A 15164-nucleotide genomic window follows, 5' to 3' on the forward strand; every position below is an offset into this window, starting at 1 on the left:
CCTTGGCTTGCAGATGCCCTGTGTCTTCACGTGGTCTTCCCCCTGTGTGTGTCTGTGTCCCCATCTTCTTAGAAGGACATCAGTCAAATTTGATGAGAGCCCACCCTAATGATCTCATTTAACTTATTTACTTCTTTAAAGATCCTATCTCCAAATACAGTCACATTCTGAGGTGCTAGGGGTTAGGGCTTTAACACATGGATTTGTGGGTGGGAAGGCCCAATTCAGCTCATAATAGTTGGCATGTGGTAATTCTATAATCTGAGGAAAATGTTAAAACAAAAGGAGAACAAGAGAGGGAGCAGAGGGTCAGGGCGTGTCCTTGTTGCCACCAGCACACAACCATGCCCCACTGCAGAACCAAGGCTGGGGGTGGTCATAAAGGACAGTCCAGGACAGCACTGTCCCAGAATGAAGAGCACAGGCTGGCTGCCTGGGCCTGCACCGTGGCATGCACCAGGACTTGCTAACACCCTTAGCTACTACTGGCACAATTCTGGTGGTCTGCACCAGGAATGCATGTGCCCAGAGGACTGGCCCACCACCCTTTGAACCTTTTCCCAGAGGAGCCTTGGCACCTGGGAGAGACTTCCTAAAGCATTCTTCATAACAATCTAATGATAGGGACCACACCATCTCTTAGAGATGTGTGCGTTCAGGGTAAAATCTCTCAGGGGATGGCAAAATGTGTTGTTAATCCATCCTCAAAGATGTTTTTCTGTGCCATGCTACACACCTGGGCATTAAAATTACTCACTGAAATGTTCTGGCCACAGGCTTTGCTAATATTGCTGGGTTTTGTTAAAGTCGTTTATCTCTCCTGGAGACATGAATGAGGTCCACCAACTCTGGAGTGGCCACGGGCAGCATCTCTCCTGCAGAGAGGCTGGGATGTTGAGAGGCTATTTTGCAGCCCGGTCTGCATCCCTGCACCCCACTTCCTCCCCGGCAGCTGATGTGCATGTGCCTGACCTGACCCCTAGCTACAAGAAAGGAGTCCAGGGTCCTGCAACTTTCTGGGGTTCCTTGGAGATTCCTGGTGTTGGGTAAAATGAGGGCATTCAGCCCTGCCAGAAGTGAAGAGAGTAAGTGAGGTGGAGACAAGGATGGGCCTGAATGAACACGTCCAGAAGCAGAGTTCTCCAGCCTTCCCACGGTGTTTCCATGGTGCCTGGTATAACAGAAAGCATGGCATTTTAACTGGATGCTGTGAGTCTTGTGTTTGTATCATTCCCCAAGAGACCCTGAGTTTCTTGATGGCAAGGGCCATTAAGGCCCAGCACAGTAGTTTCCTCATCTTTTGAGCTCAAAAAGATGTCCATTGAATGAATGAATACATGCACAACAACATAAAGAAATAAATGGAGGTACTTTTAGATGTAGGCATCACAATGCAAATCAATTATGATTGTTCATATTATTACTACAGCTTACCTCACCAGATAGTCATCTGGCTACTTTTTGCTTGAGCAGAAGATGCCTAATTGCTGGAAACTAAATGACTCAGCATCTCACCAGCCTTAGTGACAGACATGCCCTCAGGCTGCAGCCTTGGCTCTGCTCCCTGGAATTAGATGTGGTCAATGGTTCTGATTCACAGAAGCTGGTTTACCGACTTGTCTGTCTTTCTTGATTTGAGATGTAGCTGACCTCACTGCCCGTCATCACTGGAGTTAAAATCCCTGTGGCCATGGTCTGATCAGTCATGATGGTCATGATGATGCTGGGAATTTGAGTGTGTGGGATCATTTGCATTCTATCATAGAGAAAGCACAGCTGATCGCCACATGACTCACAGCACCTGCTTCTCGCTTCCCTGGACCTAATTAATCTCCTTGTGTCAGAAATTTGTTGGCCCTGAGCCGACTCCAGGGGATGATGGTGCCAGCTCAGCACACCAGGCAGGGCCAGGAGCCAGGAGCCAGCACAGGGTATGCAAGGCCTAGACAGCAAAAGGAGAGAAAGGAGCAGAAAGCTGGGAATGTTCCTAGGCTCTAGGACAGACTAGCAAGTGTCAAAGGATGATTCTTGAGAAAAGAACCATCCCAAGATTTTTTGACAGCTCCAATAAGGAAATAATAAGGTCTGTGCTGAAGGAGGCCATGACAATGGCCTCCTTGATATCTAAGGCAGGATTTCAGGAAAACCTTTGGGGACAGTGAGAAGTAGGGGACACGTTGCTACAGAGGTGCCCAGGGCTCTTGTCTGAAGGCACCATGGACTCTTCTGGATCAGAGCACTCAATGTGTCCATAATGTAGTCATTCAAAAAGTCCTTTTAATACAGCACACAGCAGGACAAGTTATTCGTTGTATGACACATGGCTGCTTGGCATTATTCCAGCTTTCTGTATTACTGTCACCAAATAAATTAAAAATTAAGAAATAGAGATATTTTAGATAATCAAGTGTTATTTTCCCTGCCCCCATCCCCATCTCTTCATTTCTGGAAAAGCCACAGCCCAGGTGCCTCTGTGCTGGGAGGTGAGAGTATTTCTGAAGAGGTGGTAGAAGAGAACTAATGGGATTATCCGCCAGAGTGATCATTTGCAAAGAGTAGCTCATGGTTGCTGGAAAGGTTTCCACTGCCATCACCATTGACCACAGTTATTTGCTCTACTGTGGTGAAATGATTTTAATAAGTTATCTGAAATCGAGTATTATTAAGTTATGCCAGTCGAGGGGCTCTGCCCGGGTGGGCCTTAAAATGGCCCACTTACAGGAGATAGGAAGCTGCATCCCACCAGAATTATGATGTGACCTTAGGCACATTGTTAACCTCAAGTTGTTGAATCTCCTGAGTCTCGTTTCATCATGTGTGAAATGAGAAAACAAGGCAGTTGTCAGGGTTCGAGGAGCTAAGAGATGTAAATCCCTTAGCATGGTGTCTTGTCACATGTGGGGGTGCTCAGTCAGGTCAGCTGCTGTTGTCATCATTACTACCGCTGACATTAAACTGTTAGGCTTTGAACAAAGTAGCAATAGAAAGCATCATGTTCCTAGGTTAAAATTTCCCCTGTTAGGAAGATTAGAGCCAAAAAGAGAGATATCCCATCAAAGAAAAGCCCCAGGAACAGATTGAATCACTGCCGAATTCTACCAGACATTAAAGAATAAATACCGATCTTACTCAAACTCTTCAAAACAAATGGTGAGGAGGGAGTACTTCCAAGCTCATTCTAAGAGGCCAGCATTACTCTGATAACAACACTAGACACGGACACAACAACAACAACAACAAACTTCAGGCCTATATTACTAATGAATATAGATGCAAAAATCCTCAACAAAATCTTAGCTAGCCAAATTCAACAACACATTAAAAAGATCATTCATCATGACCAAATGGGACTCATCCCAGTGATGCAAAGATGGGGCAATGCAAATAAACATACACATGCAACATATGCAAACAAACAAACATAATACATCACATTCACAGAATCAAGAACAAAAACCATATGATTATTCCAACAGATGCTGAAAAAGCATTTGATAAAATTCAATGTCCCTTTATGATAAAAACCCTTATAAAAATGGGTAATCAAGGAACATACCTCAAACTAATAAAGGCCATATATGACAAAGCCACAGCTAACATAATACTGAAGGGGGAAAATTTGAAGGCCTTTCCTGTAAGAACTGAAATAAGACAAGGATGGCTATTTTCACCACTATTATTCAACATAATACTGCAGGTCTTGGTCAGAGCAATTAGGCAAGAGAAAGAAATAAAAGGCATCAAAATTGGAAAAGATGGAGTCAAATTAGTCTTGTTCACAGAAGGCATAATCTTGTACTTAGAAAAACCTAAAAATTCAACCAAAAAACTGTTAAAACTGATAAATGAATTCAACAACATTGCAAGATACAAAATCAATATATTAATACAAACTTGGTAACATTTATATATGCCAGCAGTGAACAATCTGAAAAAGAAATCAAGAAAGGAATCCTGTTTACAATAGCTACAAAAAATATAAAATACCTAAGAATCAATCTAACCAAGGAGGAATCAATCTAACAAAGGAAGTGAAAAATCTCTACAAGGAAAACCATAAAACTCTGATGAAGGAAATAGAAGAGGACACACATGCACGATAGAAAGATATTTAATGCTCATGGATTGGAAGAAATAACATTATTTAAATGACCATACTACCCAAACCAATTTACAGATTCAGTGTAATCCCTGTCAAAACATCAATGATATTCTTCACAGAAACAAAAAAAAATCCTAAAATGTATATAGAACCCAAAAGACCCTGAATAGCTAAAGCAATTGATATGGTTTCGCTCTGTGTCCCCATCCAAATCTCATCTCATATTGTAATCCCCATAATCCCCACGTGTGGGAGGGTGGGACCTCGTAGGAGGTGACTGGATCATGGGGGCCATTTCCCCCATGCTGTTCTCATGATAGTGAGCGAGTTCTCATAGGATCTGATGGTTTTGTGTTTGACAGTTCCTCCCTCTCTCTCTCTCCTCTCTCTCTCTCTTTTGCCTGCCACCATGTAAGACATGCCTGCTTCTCCTTTTGCCATGATTGTAAGTTTCCTGAGGCCTCCCCACCCATGCGGATCTGTGAATCAATTAAACCTCTTTCATTTGTAGATTACCCAGTCTCAGGGAAGCTCTTTACAGCAGCATAAGAACAGACTAACACAGCAATCCTAAGCCAGAACAAGGCTGAGGCATCACATTAGCTGACTTCAAAATCTAGTACAAAGCTCTAGTAACCAAAACAGCATGGTACTGGCATAAAAATAGATACACAGACCAATAGAACCCAGAAATAAATCTACACATTTACAACAAACTCATCTTTGACAAAGACACTAAGATTATACAATGAAGAAAGAACAGTCTTTTCAATAAATGGTGCTGAGAAAACTGGATAACTATGTGCAGAAGAATGAAACGCAATCAAATCAAATCAAATCAATATGAATTAAAGACTTAAATCTAAGACCAGAGACTATGAAACTACTTAAAGATGACAGGGAAAATGCTCTAGAACATTGATCTAGGGCAAAGATTTTTTGTATAAGACCTCCAAAGCACAGGCACAAAAGCAAAAATAAACAAATGGGATTACATCAAGCTAAAAAGTTTCTACACAGTAAAGGAAACAATAAAAAAAGTGAAGGGACAACCCACAGAATAGGAGAATATAATTGCAAGCCATCCATTTGGCAAGGGATTAATAACCAGAATATATAAGGAGCTCAAACAACTCAATAGCAAACTCTTCTCAGGAGAGTAGAGAAAGTCAAACAAAACAAAACAAAAACAAAAACAATCTGATCAAAAATCAGATCAGACATTTCTCAAAACACGCAAATCATCGACAGATATATAAAAAATACTAATGTCACTAATGATTGGAGAAATTCAAGTCAGAACCACAATCAGATATTATCTCACCCCAGTTAAAATGGCTCATGTCAAAAAGGTAAGCAATAACAGATGCTGGAGAGAATATGGAGAAAGGGGAACCCTCATGTGCTGTTGGTGGAAATGTAAATTAGTACAGCCAGAAAGAAGAACAGTATGGAAATTCCTCAAAAAAACTAAAAATAGAACTACCATATAATCCAGCAATTCCACTGCTGGGTATATACTCAAAAGAAAGGGAATCTATCAAAGAGATATCTTCACTTGTAAGTTTATTGCAGCACTATTCACAATCACCAAGATTTGGAACAAACCTAAGTGCCCAAGGATGAATGAATTCTTAAAATATGGTCTACGTACCCAATGGAATATTATTTAGCCATAAAAATAAATGAAATTCTGTCATTTGGGGTGATATGGATGGAACTAGAGGCCATTTAAGTGATATAAACCAAGCACAGAAAGACAAATATCACATGTTCCCACTCATATGTAGGAGCTAAAAAGTAAATCTCATGAAGGTAGGGTACCTTAGTGGTTACCAGAGGCAGGAAGGGGAAGAGGGAAGGAGACATGAAAGAAAATAAAAAGAATATAAATGCATTTATTACCATTGAATGTACACTTAAAATGGTAAAGATGGTAAATTATATATGTAAAAATTAATTTAATTTTTAAAAATAACAAAAAATAAATACAAAAAAAAGAGATAGCTATTCCCACAAGAAAAAAAAGTTAGAAAAGTATTCTATATAGGAAGAGATCCAGGCCAAGCATGATCTTTTCTAGGGTTTATCAGTATAAATCGAGGCATGTATAAAAAAAATTTCTAGGGTAGTCAAGATTTTACTGTAAAGCCAGTAAAGGGACTGAAATGCAACCACCAAGAATATTAAGGAAAAGAAAGGATTAAATTTGATTATTAGTAAATTAGAACAATTTACTCCAGGGAGGCTGAAAATGGATGAAATCGCTCCCTTTGCCCCTTTAAATATCACAAAATATAATTAACTTGGATTCAAATGCACACATCAAAAAGCAGGAGCATTTATGAGAGTTGTGTGATGGGATTTGATGTGAAAGGAATCCATATAAAATGTTCCTTCCCCAACCACTGGGCCTGGAGGACATCAATCAGTCCCATAGTGATGGTGCCATCCAATGCCGGGGATAAGAGATCACACTCAAGGACTCACCATGCTTCTCAGAGGACAGGTCAGAAAGTTCCCCTGCCTTCCGTGTGGATAGCAGTGTGGAACTTACAAGTTGCATTACTTTACAGCCGCTCTTTTGTTCCCACTCATTTTAAAGCTATGAAGGAAGTTGAATGAGGCAGCCATGGTTTCAAGGAATTGGGTGACTTGCCCAAGAGAGCAGAGAAAGTCACTAGTGAAATTGACCTTAGTTCCCTTATGAAGATCTTCTAGCCTGGCAATAGCACACACTGATGCTGGACTTGAAACTTGAGCAGCAGGGTATGAGCTGAGTCACAATGTTTGGCACTAGTAAAAGGCCAGCCCACAGAAGTTGGGATGCTGAGAAGAATTGGAGAGTGGGGCAAGGGAGAAGAAAAGTAGAAGACAATGCTAAGAAACTAATAACCTCTTTTACAAAGTGGAGTGTTGAGAGTCTGTCAAAAGTTGTCGTAGTCCGTTTGTGTTGCTATGAAGGAATACCTAAGGCTGGGTAATTTATGAAGAAATGAGGCTTATTTGGCTCATCGTTCTACAGGCTGTACAGGAAGTGTGGTGCTAGCACCTGCTTCTGATGAGGGCCTCAGGAAGCTTACAATCATGGCAGAAAGTGAAGGTGGAGCAGGTGTGTCACATGGCGAGAAAGGAAGCAAGGGAGGGGAGGAGGTGCTAAGCCATTTTTAACAATCAGGTCTCATAGTAACTAACTGAGTGAGAACTAGAAGAGTGCCCACAGGAGGGCACCAAACCATTCATGAGGGATCCATCTCATGACCCAAACACCTACCAGAGGCCCACCTCCAACACTGGGGGTTCACATCTCAACATGAGATTTGGAGGGGACCAACATCCAAGCTAACTCAAAAGTAAATGGAAATAGAAAGAAAAGGATGAGTGTATTATTTGAAGTTACAATATTATCAAGAGAGATGCTAGAAATAATCTAATTCTCAAACATTTCAAAGAACAGAGGCGGGAAAGGTTTGGTTGTCAGGCAAGCAAATCTTCTATATGCTTGACGCGATGTGGATAAATAGGTCAACAGAGATAAAGCATTTTATTTAGAACTGTGGGATAGGCCTCAGGACAATTACTAAGAGGAATACTAAAAAATCTCTGTATTGTGGTTCTGGGCTGGGGTGGCATCTGGTGAGAGGCTGCTCTTTCGTATTATAAACCCTTTGTAATATTGTATTTGATTTGTTGCTATGAATGTCTATTACTTTAATTTAAAAAATGACACAAGATCAATTTTCTGTATTTCCAGCATAGAGACAGTTGCTGTCTTTTCATAAAGAACGTTTTAAAGAGAAATCCCTACAGAAATAATAAATAACATGCTTGTCATTCCTGACTCCCAGGGTACATGGTTGCTTTAAAACATAGGTTTTATTCATTTAGGTGTGGCAAGGCCAACAGATAAGGAGGGGACTGCTGTTGAACAGATAGTCTGTCATGCACAGATCTGGAGAGGAGGTACATGCCTTGCCATGGGGGCCACGCTGTGCCATGGGGGACCACATGGGGAAACTCCAGTGTTGGTTAGAAGTGTGGGGGGAACTGTAGCAAGAGCCTTTAATGTGGTTTTTGTGAGAAGGAACCAGCAAGGCAGTACAAGTAGACTTAGAATGGACTACTTTGAATAATTTTAGTGGGCTCTGGACACAGGGGTGTCATGAGTTGCCTGGTGCCTGGCCCTGGGGTGATTAGGGCAGGTGGCCGTGGCCCAGAGGGTGAGAGCCCAACGGAGGAGGTGGTTGGGAGGGCTCTGGAGTGGTTGGTTTGCATTGGAAAGCTGTGCTTGCTGAAGTCATTTACCATCTCTAGGGACTGGCCAGCCTGGGAGGGGCAGTCCCTCCAGGCCCAGCAAGGCACCGAGATTTCTACACCTTTTGAAATAGTTTAGTCAAAAAGCACCCAGTGTCTATTTCTTGCAACTGCAAAAACAATATTAAAAAGAAAGCACTGATTGCTAGATATTGCCACCCTAGGTAGTGGTCACAAAGACCATTAGCCCCTGAACCCTCATGGATGGTTGTTAACAGAATCTTCTGTTTCTATCTCTGCTGTCCTTTCAGCCTTTCCCATTGTCCCCTTATCTGCCTCTGAACCAGAACAACATGCATAGTTCATCCAGTGGGCAGTGCGTCCTCAAGGTGAGTAGCTCTCCTGGACCTAAGTCCTTGCACGGCGAGCAACCTTCTGGCTTGCACTTGGCCACTGCAGAAAAAGGGAATATGCCAATCCTTTCCATGGGAGCATGGGACATCTCAGAGCTCATTAACAATTGATGCTTTGGTTACATATCAACTTTGTGTTTTTCATTATCACAAGCTAATTCCCACGCCAACATTTTGGATCTCTAAGCAACTGGCAGGGTTAAGCTTAGCATCCTGGCTGATATTTGGTTGCTATCACTTCAATGTTAATAATAGTTTCAGTCAACCAGCTGGCAATATGGTAATTAGATAAAGCCTAGAAACAGGAAAAGACAGTAAAGGTGTCAACCTGGGACAGGGAAGCAGAGTGGCAGCCTTCTCTGTGAACCTACCTAGCTTGGCTAAATTTTCATAACACAAACACATACAAGAACACTCTGCTATTAAAAAAAAAATCTGGGGCCCATCAGCTTTCTTCTCATTTTTCCAGTGAATGGTTGGCAGAAATCTTCCAAACTGTCTACTTGACAATTTGTTTAAAAGTATAGTTTTGCAGCTGGGTGATTTGTTTGCTCTTTTTCCCTCCAAGAATCAAGTGTTACAATCAGGGATAGCTTGTTATGATGGAAGCCGTGCGGGCAGTTTGGATTTTCATGGGTGTCCCCACCCTGCTGGCAGGCAGCTGGCTTTGGAGGCCTGTCCTGGATCCCTCTCACTGACTGCATCTCCCCTCCCCTGGTCCAGGCTCCAGTTTACATGGCTCTGCCATTGGGAAGTGGAATGGCAAAGCATATGCGGCCGTGCTGCTCAGCCAGGTACAAATAAGAGTTGTGTTGCTGCTCATCTGGGGCTGCTGGCTGCCTAGAAAAATGAAATAAAGTGAGTTTGTAACAAGCAAAGTCCTGTGAATTGTGGCCTCTTTCAATCATAAACAGACAGTTTATCCACTGAAAAGATCATATGGCCCAAATAATCAGAGTGACTTTGGAAGAGTAATCCACGTGGTTTTATATTAAAGAGGGGGAGGGAGGGAAGGAGGTGGCGGGGGGAGGGAGAGAGAGAGAGAGGGAGAGAGAGCAAGCCAGATTTCTCCACAGAAACAGAAACGATAGGATATACAGATATAGTTGGATGAGGAGAGCTGTTGTGAGAATTGGCTCACTCAATTATGGATGCTGAGAAATTCCAGGCCACGCCATCTACAAGCTGGAAGCAGGTCCAGGCCAGTCCAAAGGCCTAAAATCCAGGGAGGAAGGGGACTGGTGTAAGTCCCAGAATCCAAAGGCCTCAGAACCAGGAGCTCTGATGTCTGAGGGCAGGAGAAGGTGGATGTCCTAGCTCCAGAAGAGAGAGACAATTCACCTTTCCTCTGCCCCATTGTTCTCTCTGGGCCCCCAACAGGTTGACCAGTGCCACCTACATTGGTGAGGGTGGACCTTCTTACTCAGTCCACTGATTCAAATGCTCATCTCTTCCAGAAACGCCCTTACAGACACACTCACAAATAATGTTTTACCAGCCATCTGGGCATCCTCACCGCAGTCACGTTGACACCTAAAATTAACCATCTCAGAAAGCCAAAAGGTGGCTGGGGACGCGGGGGCAGCATCAGCCGGCTCCCCGCCCCCTGACCAGGAGAAGGTGCGCACCGTAAGCACTCCACCCTCCCATTCGGCCTCTGGCCCCAGGTGCAGCCACTGTGGACTCACCCTGCCTGGTGCGGAACACTCCCTCCCTGTGATGTGCAGTCCGCAGATGGAAGCCTGGAGGGCCCACACGCTTCCGAAGCAGGGTGGCCCTAGGCTGGCTTGTCAGCGGAAGCTGTCTAGCGGGGATATGGCGGTGGCAGAAGTGAGGGGGCTGAGGGGCGGGGCGGACTTTAGCAGGAGGATAGAGGGGAATGTCCTTGTTTCATAAAGCTGAAGTGTGCCCAAGCAATGTCCCGGTATCTCTGTGAAAGGTTGGCTGCCTGGTGTGACTGAGAGACCGGAGATTTGGCCCTGGAAGGTCAAGTGTGGTGGTCTTTTTCTTTTTTCCACTTTTTAACCTTTTTCTACTGTGGGGAGATCGCCCAAGATTACTGAATTTGCTAACCCCAGGGGAAGTAGGCATTTGAGTCTAACAGCGCCATCCCTCCCTCCACAAAACCCTGTAGAGCAGTGTTCGCTCTATGACGTGTGAAGGTGAAAAGCCACTCAGGAAACCAGAGAGATTTGGCACTAAAATATATGTTTTTCGTAACCAGGGCAGGTTGGGCTTCCCTTCATCACACACCAACAGATGCACACGGAGCCCCGCGCGGCCCATTCCTGAGGGCGGATTCCCCAGGGCAGGGCGAGAAAGGCCCTCGGGCCCCTGCCTGTGTGCCCATCTCTCCATCCTAGGTCGAGGATGAGCGGGTGTGCGCAGGCCCAGCGTGGGAGAGGCAGGCAGGCCAGGAGCGGCCCGCCAGAAAGGTGCAAGGGAAAGCCCCAGAGGCGGAGGGGAAGGTGAGAACCCGGGGCGGTGATGCTGCACGCCCCTGGGGGACTGCATGGAGAAGGGGAGGGTGCGCGGGGCCGGCTGGTCCAGTGCACTCCGGCGCGGCCCCGGCACCCGTGGGCACCGCCATGTCCTTCGCTCAGCTCCGCCGCGGCTACCTGCGGGGTCTGCGCGGCTGCGGTGGCCAGGTGAGGACGTCTCTGCCCTTGCGCGGCCTGCGCTGTATGCTTCCTGCCTGGCCCGCGCTTCCCCTGCCTGCATCACCCGCTGCCCGCGCGGCTCGGAGCGCGCCCTCTGCTGGACCGGCCACGGCCGGCGGGCGGCTGCCTCCAGGCTCCACCACAGGAGGGGGAGCACGCGCCCTGCTGACCGCACGCCCACGTGATATCGCCTTCTGCCATCGCAGAAAGCAGCGGTTCAGCCTCTCTGCCTGCACACTTGCGTGATGGGGAGCTCACAAGCAGTCCACTGCATTGCTGTCAACGCTGACCATTAGAAACAGCTTCCTTATGTTGAGCCCTTTGTCGCTCACTCCATTTGTCCTACCTCTGCCCTCCAGGTCTCGCCTGCAAAGGGCTTAGCTTCTCATGACAGCACTTAAAGCATTTCAACACAGCATTAGCACCACCTAACCCCAGTTCTTCTGCTCTGCCCAAACCTCCCCGGGCCCTCCAATCATTGTGGTATGATGTAGCGTCACCATTCAGATGACTCACGTTAGGACACAAACCATCTACAGAGTCCCTTCTCCACTGTGGTGCCCAGGAGTACACCTGAGCCTGCAGGTAGGGTCTGCCCACTGCACAGGACGGGACGTCGCCTGCGGGACTCTAACCGCTGGCCTTCAGACACACAGGCAGAGGTCACAGCAGTCGATGTGCCAGAATCTTCACACTTCTCATGCGCTCTGAGTTTAGGTTCAATTTTTATTCATTTTCATATGTTCTACTAAGTAATCCCATCCCTGAATCCATCCAGCGAACATTTAATTCCTAACGAGTGCCAGACAGCTGCTATTATTGCTGTTCAGTCTAAGGGTGTATCTTCAGTTTCTGCACTAAAGTTCATCCTGGCTTACCACGTCCATAATTCTCATTTATGTTAATCATTTGGGATGGTGATGTTTTTAAATATCCAATATATCTGTAATGGCTTCCAGATCCATCTAATTAGTGAGTTTGACAGGCAGCCTTCGTATGTCCTAGTGCTGTTAAAATACCGAAATCCAGCTTCATATTCCGGTAAAGAGGCTGCACAGCCCCTTTCCCCTTTGTGAAAGATTGCTTGACAAACTACCAAGGCTTTTATGAGGAGCCCATGAAGATCTTAACCTATTGTCTTTAAATTGATCAAAAAGCTTCCTCGTGTCACCTTGTCACATGCCTTACAGAAATCCAGAGACACTAAGTCCACCACATTTCCCTGATGTGCAGCCCAGTAATTGCACTAGCGTCTTGCTGCCCTGCTGGGCGGTTTTGACAGAACACCTGTCATTGCCTCTCCTGGTCTCTAAGCCTGTTGTTCTGCTGGGCAGGCTGGACACTGAGGTCCCACGACTGCACACAGAGGCACACTCAGTTCTCAAACAACCACTCTATGCACTCCTGACTCAGAAAGGAGCCTGGGACTCAAGCTTTGTCTCTGATGGTCCCCTGAGGCGGCGGGTGCTTTGTTCCTCTCTTGTGCTTAGCCATGCCTTGTCCCAGCAGAAGTGTCTCAAGTCATGGGGTTTCCCCATGTCCCTGCAGAGGGTATTTTAGTCTAAGAATACATGGCATTCTTAACAAGGGCTTCCTGATATTAATCATAAATAGTCCTGCACTGATTTCACACTATTATTCTTTCTTACAACTTTTGTTTTTAATACAGCTGAACACCCACCTCCTCAGGCTGTGCCTGAATATGTGTGTGATGTGTATGGTATGTAGGACAAGGATCCTATAGGAGATAATGAGTATTTTAAATATATAAGACATATTATTTACTACTATATATTTTTAAGGAGAGAGAAGATGTAGCATTTTCATTGCACTGGAAACTATACTGCAGTGATGGCTGAGGCCTAGATGTGTCCTTGAGGTGGAGGAGTGCTGGGGAGCAGGAGGTTGGGTATGGGGAGTCTGCTCTGTCCTGCTTTCTGGCCTCAGCTTCCTAGTTTAGTGAATGGCTGGGATGGGATGATCCCAAACATCACTCCCAACTCTTCTACAACATCCGCAAGTCATCACTTACAATATAGACCTATGGTCTCTGAGATTTGTAACTGACTTTTGTAAGAGTACTACTGCTACTAATGAGAATAGTAATTGACACTCACTCATTATGCATCTGTGACTTGGGCTTCAGCAATTTGCTGAGTTCTTATAACATATCTCTGAGATAGATGTACTACTCTATTTACAGATGAGAAAGACCCAGGTCTGGCATGCTCAAGCCACTCGTTCAAATGAACATGCTGTTATGCAGCAGCCAGAAAGCCAGGTCTGTCTGGATCTTTTACATCCTCTGGCCAGAGGCTGCAGTGTGGAGATTCTACCTGAGGAGACATACGGAATCTAGAACTCTGCAGCCCAGTGTCCAATATGGGATCCAGTCCGGGCGCGGTGGCTCATGCCTGCAATCCCAGCACTTTGGGAGGCCAAGGCAGGCGGATTACCTGAGGTCAGGAGTTCGAGACCAGCCTGACCAACATGGTGAAATCCTGTCTCTACTAAAAATACAAAAAGTAGCTGGGCATGATGGTGCATCCCTGTAATCCCAGCTACTCAGGAGGTTGAGGCAGGAGAATCCCTTGAACCTGGAGGCGGAGCTCTGAGCCACCTCCCCCAGTCTGGGAGCCAAGTCCTTGGCCTCCATGGTTGACCCACTTCTTGACCCTCTCCTTCACTAGGCAGCCAGTGGCTGCTTCATTACAGCTCCACACTTCAACAACTCCCAAAGAACCCAAATATCATTAAGCAATTTTATAGCAGTCTGGGGCTGACTGACAGTTCAGAAGTGGCTGCCGAGTTACTTGCCATCCAACAATTAGAAAACAGTCAAGGCCTTGGTGGGGGGTGAGGGTGCTTAGCACAGGGCTGAGGGCACAAGTATAATGTCTAAGACCCTGCACAGAGTCCTGCCAAAGCCTTGGCAACAATCCCAGTGCTGTGTCTGGAGAAAATGACAAATGTTCCAGAAGTGGGAGGGCACATGTCTCTCCTGGAGAGACTCTGCTTGAGGCTGCATTTACACTAGGGCACCCTTTGGGTTACTGTGGAAAACTAGATGACTAGAGCCCCAGTAAAAGCTGCCTACTGTGTGGAAACTGCATGCAGATAGTTCTGGCATGGGAGGGTGGCTTCCTGATTGAAACAATAATAATGCTGGTGTGTGTGTCACTACAAGGAAAGAAAGGTGATTTGTGGAAATAACTACTCATACAGAAAGACAACTCAGCTTGATTAGGGAGAAGTAAGGAAGACAGGGTAAAGAATGAATTTCCTCACCTACCAATGCCAGGAGCAGCTCCAGGACCAAGAAAGGGATGTCACTTAAGGAAGTGCTCCTGCTTAGGGTAGTAGGGGTGCAAGGTCAGCTCCTGAGAATGTGTGCCTCTTAAATGCTGGGCCCTGGGAGGGTGGTGTCTGCCTGGCTGTACCCTAGTTGCAGCCCTAAGCAGGGATTTAAGGATCTACTTACTTTAGCTTATTTATTCCATATAAAAGCTTCATGGTGCAGAATTACTATCCCCATTTTATAGATAGAAGAAACGGAGGCTCAGGTTCAAAGTCACCCAGTGAATAAACTCAGACAAATAGCCTCACGATCTCATAGTCTGCTTAAAACCATTTCAGATTTTTTCCCAACATTAAAACAACTCTGGGGGAAAGATAGATTAATCTGGTCAGAGTCATGTCCCAGCCACTTGCTGTTTGACTTGAGGCCAATCACTT

General features: G+C 45.4%; 1 long non-coding RNA gene across 1 annotated transcript in view, besides 6 other annotated features; it reads right to left on the reverse strand.

Annotated features, from left to right (window-relative positions):
- The window catches only part of LOC124902544 (uncharacterized), a 57376-nt gene that overhangs the window by 5749 nt on the left and 36463 nt on the right, over positions 1–15164 (reverse strand). The window lies entirely within an intron of this gene.
- Positions 1048–2247: an enhancer, noted in NCBI's record as "P300/CBP strongly-dependent group 1 enhancer chr10:44796158-44797357 (GRCh37/hg19 assembly coordinates)". NCBI's record gives its function as "activates an origin of replication core promoter dependent on BRD2, BRD4, P300/CBP, MED14 and CDK7 cofactors, with strong dependence on P300/CBP, by STARR-seq in HCT116 cells {active_cell/tissue: HCT116}" and the evidence as "EXISTENCE:reporter gene assay evidence [ECO:0000049][PMID:35650434]".
- Positions 7993–8202: an enhancer, noted in NCBI's record as "active region_3312". NCBI's record gives its function as "activates an Ori minimal core promoter by ATAC-STARR-seq in GM12878 lymphoblastoid cells {active_cell/tissue: GM12878}" and the evidence as "EXISTENCE:reporter gene assay evidence [ECO:0000049][PMID:35858748]".
- Positions 10223–10392: a silencer, noted in NCBI's record as "fragment chr10:44805333-44805502 (GRCh37/hg19 assembly coordinates)". NCBI's record gives its function as "represses an EF-1alpha promoter that drives an FKBP-Casp9 reporter gene in an ReSE screen in HepG2 liver carcinoma cells {active_cell/tissue: HepG2}" and the evidence as "EXISTENCE:reporter gene assay evidence [ECO:0000049][PMID:32094911]".
- Positions 11153–11655: an enhancer, noted in NCBI's record as "H3K27ac-H3K4me1 hESC enhancer chr10:44806263-44806765 (GRCh37/hg19 assembly coordinates)". NCBI's record gives its function as "activates a minimal SCP1, AML or CMV promoter by ChIP-STARR-seq in naive H9 embryonic stem cells {active_cell/tissue: H9 hESC(naive)}" and the evidence as "EXISTENCE:reporter gene assay evidence [ECO:0000049][PMID:30033119]".
- Positions 11237–11566: a silencer, noted in NCBI's record as "silent region_2338". NCBI's record gives its function as "represses an Ori minimal core promoter by ATAC-STARR-seq in GM12878 lymphoblastoid cells {active_cell/tissue: GM12878}" and the evidence as "EXISTENCE:reporter gene assay evidence [ECO:0000049][PMID:35858748]".
- Positions 12935–13104: an enhancer, noted in NCBI's record as "active region_3313". NCBI's record gives its function as "activates an Ori minimal core promoter by ATAC-STARR-seq in GM12878 lymphoblastoid cells {active_cell/tissue: GM12878}" and the evidence as "EXISTENCE:reporter gene assay evidence [ECO:0000049][PMID:35858748]".

The sequence above is a fragment of the Homo sapiens genome, chromosome 10 (assembly GCF_000001405.40).
Source record: "Homo sapiens chromosome 10, GRCh38.p14 Primary Assembly".
Lineage (NCBI taxonomy): Eukaryota > Metazoa > Chordata > Mammalia > Primates > Hominidae > Homo > Homo sapiens.